The sequence below is a fragment of the Homo sapiens genome, chromosome 12 (assembly GCF_000001405.40).
Source record: "Homo sapiens chromosome 12, GRCh38.p14 Primary Assembly".
Classification (NCBI taxonomy): Eukaryota; Metazoa; Chordata; class Mammalia; order Primates; family Hominidae; genus Homo; species Homo sapiens.
In genome coordinates, this window is record NC_000012.12 from 75,204,782 (window position 1) to 75,210,781 (window position 6,000).

The 6,000-nt window shown below is 48.2% G+C and overlaps 1 protein-coding gene across 28 annotated transcripts in view, besides 1 other annotated feature; it reads right to left on the reverse strand.

Annotated features, from left to right (window-relative positions):
- Positions 1-5,058, reverse strand: part of KCNC2 (potassium voltage-gated channel subfamily C member 2) — a 169,762-nt gene extending 164,704 nt beyond the window's left edge. For 15 of the 28 annotated variants that reach the window (NR_182259.1, NR_182257.1, NM_001414199.1 and 12 more), the window contains exons 1-2: positions 4,426-5,058; positions 2,516-3,221 (exon numbers count right to left, since the gene is read on the reverse strand). Coding sequence is in view for 26 of the 28 variants with exons in the window: in NM_001414199.1 (NP_001401128.1) it covers positions 2,516-3,202 (687 nt within the window). In the remaining 2 variants the exon portion in view is untranslated. Of the gene's footprint in view, positions 1-2,515; positions 3,224-4,425 lie in introns of those variants that run through there. The other 13 variants (XM_047428818.1, XM_047428817.1, XM_047428810.1 and 10 more) reach the window with 1 other exon arrangement.
- Positions 2,233-2,934: an enhancer, noted in NCBI's record as "H3K4me1 hESC enhancer chr12:75600794-75601495 (GRCh37/hg19 assembly coordinates)". NCBI's record gives its function as "activates a minimal SCP1, AML or CMV promoter by ChIP-STARR-seq in naive H9 embryonic stem cells {active_cell/tissue: H9 hESC(naive)}" and the evidence as "EXISTENCE:reporter gene assay evidence [ECO:0000049][PMID:30033119]".
- Positions 5,059-6,000: the final 942 nt, after the last annotated feature.

Sequence of the window (6,000 nt, forward strand, 5' to 3'; positions counted from 1 at the left end):
AAGTCACTTTTAAATAGAATGGTGACTTATGATTACTTTTTTTCAGCCAACCCCTAGGAATTTGAAAAGGGATTTCCCTGAAGACAAGACCCACAAAAGAAAGCCAAATATTAAACCCTGACTGGTCAATAAAAATGGAAAGTTCAAACAGGATTCTTTTTAAGAAGTTAATTCAAGTCCCATATTTTTATTCTACTGTTGGGTGGTAAAGGGTAAAAATTCCAGGAGCGAAAGTCCTGGAATACATATATTTTAAAAGTCATAGATGACCTTTCACAGTTAGGACCCTAGTGAATGTCTTATGCCGCATTAAATCTCAAGACCAATGTGATCTGCAGAGATTTCACAATCCAGTCCAGTTATAATCAGTAGTTTTGCTAGAAAGGGCCTGAGGAGAGTGTCATGAGACCTCTGGGATAACTTTGGCTTTGCTATTAACTTGATGTATAACCTTGGCCATCACTTAGCATCTGCAGTCTTCATTTCCCTCATCTACAGTATAAAGGGTCTTGACTAAACGTGACCTCAAATAAATTTTTCAGGTCTATGATTCTTAGCTGATTCTGCTTCTACTTGCTCTTTGACCTTGTTTTAATCTCAATTTTGGTGTATTCTTTTCTCACCAAAACAGATGCAGATCAAAGTCTCAAGAGTATTATAAAGAAATATCGTAGTAAATGCTTTTTAAACACAATTTTCAAGTCAATGGTTTATCCTTTTGATCAATAAACTATAGAATCAAATTTCATGGCAATGATAAAAGTTGAACACCTTCTTAAAGTTTTTGCTATGCAATCTGGCCTACAATAAGATGTATTATGTTATCATAAGGAAAAATAGTAAAACATTATGTCCTTTTGTAGCACATGATCTGGAAAAAAAGAATCACATGATGGGCCTGAAAACAAATTCAGATTATCTTTTTAGCCACCAAGTGGAAAGAGCTCCATAACACTCAGCTGGAATCCAAAAAACACAGATGCACAGATGTAATGGTCATGAGCCTGTGGTTTAATTTAAATGAATATGCACTTGCGGTTTTGTTTGGTTGGTTTGGGTTTTTTTTTTTTTTTTCCTGAATGCCAACTCTGTTGTTGAATTTATGGCATGGCCTGAAAAAAAAAAAAAAAGATTTCCAAGTTGAAGCTACTAATTCTATGTTCAAATATGTGTATGCAGGCATGTTAGAATTTATGTATGCATTTAAATACCAAGTCTAAAGGAGTAGCAATGCTTTAAATTGTCTCTTTCATATTCTATTTCACACTGAAAACAAAACACGTCCACAGACTTCCAAAGTGTTATCAGTAGCACATCTTCTGACAAATTAGTAGATAGCTGCATAACGTCTCAGATGCAGACACTTCTGACATACAGAGGAAGAAAATAATGAAGATAGAGCCAAAGTAAAGTTGGGAGAATTCCCATTCTGCCCATGGGGTGTCTTTTCTGGGTGTCGGAAGCAAACCAGACACATGCAGTTGCAAAGATTTAACTGAATACAGTACTTTGTTCTCATATATAATTAAAAACCATTCACATACTGTATAATTTTTGGTTATTTATATGTCTTTATTTCCTTTCAACCAGAGAAATCATTATTGGTTACTTTTATAATCTCTTCATGAGATTTTGAAGAATTAATTGGGAATGTCAAGGATTAAAGTTGAGCTGTCATTTAAACTAGAACCCGAAAAAGAACACTGAGGCTGAAATCACAATATTAAAAGTAAAATAAAGTTTGCTCCAATCTAAATTACTCAGATTTAGAGAACTAGGATCACCAAAGTGGTTAATGTATGTTCAACCTGTAAGGATCAGAGATACAGCCCTAAGCAAAAGGGACGAGGCTCAAAATTCTGTGTGTAAGTGGGCTCTCTGGTCAACTCACGGAAACAATCCTAGTATTCGTCTCCCTTGGAAAGTGACAGGCCCAAACAACGTTCTGGAGATTCTCTTCACAACATAAACCTCCAGGCAAACCTTTCCTCCCTCCACCTCCCCAGACACATAGATACATTCCATTTCCCCTTCCTCTGTCCTCAGATTCAACCCCCAATTGGAGCCACGGCTCTGGGTGAGTCAGATGTGAAGGGGGCCTCACTGAAAATGTCAAATAGGGATGACCAGGAGGCCAGAAGAGAGATCTGAGCTAAAGGAAAAGTTAGAACAAAGGAGTGAGGGAGAAACTCGAGATGAATCCTCATACCCGTTTCAGGACAGGGTCCAAAGACGTGCACAGAAAAGTCGACATTGGCCCTCTAGGTCCCATCTGCTAAAGCAAATCTGTTTGAGTTGGGAGAAGAGGAGGAGGAGAAAGATGGGACTGGGTAGGGATGGTGGCCGGGGTCCCTGGGTTTACCCTGCAAAGGATGAGCCTCTAACTGTATCGCTAGGAAATCCCGGGTCTCTTCTACCCCCCATGCCTGAGGCCCTGGGGTGGAAAAGAACAGAAAGTTGGGGAGGGAGTTGGGAGAAGTTGAAGCAGCAGGGAAGGGGTCGATTCTGGCCTTACCCTGGCGGCTCTGGACGAGTAGGGGTCTTCGAAGAGGGCCCACATGCGGGGCTGCAGCCTCCTCCAGCGGCCAGATTTGCCGTCGGGGCCCCCGAGCCCCGCCGCGTCCTCGATGCCCAGCCTCTTGGCCGCCAGGTCCTCGTCGTCGCCGGGGTCGCCGCCAATGAGGTCGGGGGTCTCGAAGATGTCCAGCGCCTCCTCGGCGTCGCGGTGCTGCCGGTAGGTCATCCAGCAGCAGGGCTCCACGTCGGTCTCGTCGATGCCCCAGAAGGCCAGCTCCTCCTCGAAGAGCGGCCCGCACACGTCTGCGGGGCAGTGCAGCTTGCCGGTGCGGTAGTAATTGAGCACATAGGCGAAGACGCCCGGGTGCCGGTCGAAGAAGAACTCGCGGCCGCCACCGGGATGGTCGCTGGCCCTGCCGCCGCGGGAACTGCAGTTGCCCGCGCCGCCCTCGAAGCAGCCGCCTGGCCCGGGGGACAGCGGGGGCGCTCTCGGCGGCGGCGACAGTGGAGGCGGCGACGGCTGCAGCTTGTCGCCCGCCGTGGTCAAGCAGTCGCCTGGGGGCTCGGAGGAGGCAAGAAGGGCCAGGCGTGTTCCAGGCAGGGTCTTGAGGGTGCTGCGGTAGGTTTCGTGCCGGGTGCCCCCGACATTGAGGATCACCCTCTCGTTGTTCTCGATCTTGCCCATCTCTGTGACTCAGACATGACTAGGGGGAGGCAAACACAGCGCCGAGTTAAAGATCTTAGCCGTCAAAGACACACCATGACCCCCACCACCAACCCAGAGCGAGTCCAGGGATGCAGAGTTGGCAGACAGGCACGGGGCAAAGACCCTCCCCGGGAGGGGATCAGCGTCCAGCGCTGTCCCCGCCTCTTGCATCAAACCTTTCCCAGGTTTCCAGAGAACTACAGAGATAGCAGTCCTAGTCTTTCTTGACCTTTCATGACACCGTTTTCCCTGCCTCCCGCTTTCCTTTCTTTTGGCTCTGATCTCTTCACCTTCATCTTTTCACCTTCCACTCTTCCTCTTTTCTGTTCCCACTCAAGTCCAACCTGCTCCCAGCCCCTAACCCCCTCTCTGCCTCCCCAAACACACTCTCTCTCCCTCTAAACCTACTTTCTCCCCCTCCTTTGCCCCATTCTCTCCTCCTCCCCTGGTTGGCCTCTCATTCCCACTCTCCAAGACCCTCCTCTTTCTCCCCTTCCCCTAGCTTGGATGCAATTCTCTTAGGCAGGGAGTTTTCCTCAGGCAACTTGGCAGTGTTGGGTGAGAGCACACCCTCCCCCCACCCTGTGAAGAGCCCGGATTCCACACCCACCCTAGGTCAACCCCGGACCCCTCTCTACTCCCTAGCGCTCAGGGAGTGCCTTCTGAGCAACCTGTTCTAGGATCACCTCTACACCTGCTCACAGACCAAGCAAAAAGACAACACAGAAGTCAGAGAAAAAAAAAATCTCTGCTGTTGCTTTTCACCTAGGAGACCTCTGACTTATTTCCTCATTCGATTTCCTTTTCACGTTATTATTATTATTGTTGTTGATATTATTATTACTTGGGAAAGGAAACAACTAACTAAGATCCATCTTTAAGAATAGAAGTGATCAATGCATCCCACCCATCCCCCTTCCCAAGAAAAACAAATCCCTTAGTGGGTGGAGGGTGGGGGATTTGCTTTCTAGGAGGGGCGAGGCTCGGGGAAAAGCTGCTTGGAGGCACACCCCCTGGGTCCCTGAGCTGAAAGTCTCGCTGACAGTGTCCCTGTTTCCAGCCTCCCAGCCACCTCTCCCCAGGGCTTCATCTCTACATTCCTATTGCGGAAAGGCGGAGCGGGGGGATGCTGGCCTGCAGGGTCAACATGCCCTTTCCAGGAAATCGCCCCTTTCACCACCCCCGCCCCCATTTCCAGATACCTTAACGAGACCGAGAGAAAAGTGGTTCTGCTTTGGTTTCCGAGTGGACGAGGTTCTCTGGGCAGCGGGACTGAGTCTTGGCGCCCAGGTGAGCCGCCCTTCTCCGACGAGAAACTACTTGTTGGCGTTTTCCGGATTCAGGTGGTTGAGCCGCTTCCCTGGGCGCTGGGGTGGGGGAGAAAGCCCCCGCCGGCCGCCGGCCGCGCTCCCCGCCTTCATTCTGTGATCTGCGGATTTGCCAGTCGCCAACCTCCGCGCCCAGAGTCACCATCGCGCAGGGTTGGGCAAACCATGGAGCTCGGGGCGGGTCCAGCCGGCACTGCCCGACCCCTCCGGGAGCGGGCAGATCGGCTGGCCGTGAATGGAGTGGAGACTGGCCGCAGGTCAGGAGAGCTCACCACTTGAAGGTGAAGTCGCCCTGCTCGGATTCCATCTGCAGATTTTGTTTCTCCCCCAAATCAGCCACTGCTGGAGCTGTCCCTTCAGCACCACTCGCCATCAACCTCCCGCCGCCATCCGAAGCACAGGGCTCAGGAAAGAGTGGGTGGGTGGGTCTGGAGAAGCTATGTGTACCAACCAGGTTCACATATTTTTCTTCCGTGAAGCTCTGTCTCCACCCTCTCTGGAGCTTCTGCCTGCCTTATTTACACCCCACTCTCCACACCCTCTCTCTCCCCCCACCCCTCGCTATGCCCCACCCCTCCCAACAAGTGAGAGAATCTAAAACCAATTGCATTTTTTTTTTCTCAATGACAGTTGGCCGGAGAGAGAGGTCTACTAACAGGTGACAGTAAATATTGTTTTTTATGTCTTATGCATAGCTCTGGCTTGCTTTTTCAAATCAAATGTCAGTCTCCAGCCACCACACCACGGTTATCTAAAGCAAAACAAGTTTTAGAAGTTTATCCCAGGAAGATAGTGCTTTACAAAGTACAAGCTCCAGGGTTTCTTTTTGTCTGAAGCTGAAGAGAAAATCCACAGATACCCAAGTATCCAAGTAATTTTTTAATAAGCCAATTTCACCCTTTCTCAAGTTTTCATTGCCCCTTGTATTAGTTTGCTAGGGCTGCCATAAGAAAGTATGACAAACTGGGTGGCTTAACAGCAGAAATGTATTGTCTCATGGTTCTGCCAGTTTCAAATACAAAATTAAGGTGTTGTTAGGGTTGGCTTCTTCTGAGGGTTGTGGAGGAAGAATATGTTCCAGTCCTCTCTCCTTGGCTTGTAGATGGGCATCTTCTCCCTGTGCCTCTTCTGACTATTTTCTCTCCATGCATATCTGTCTCTGTGTCCAAACATCCTCTTTTTATAAGGATATCAGTTATATTAGATTGGGGCCCGCCATAAATGACCCCATTTCAACTTCACTATCTCTATAAAGATTCTATCTCCATACAAGGTTACATTCTGAAGTACTGAAAGTTAGGACTCCAATACAATTTTTATGAGGGGAAGGGGCACTATTCAACCTATAACAGGCCTCATCACCAAACAGATCGTGTGTGTGTGTGTGTGTGTGCGTGCACATGTGTGTATCTGTGTGCATATTCCATGAAAGAAAGAAAGAAAGAAGAA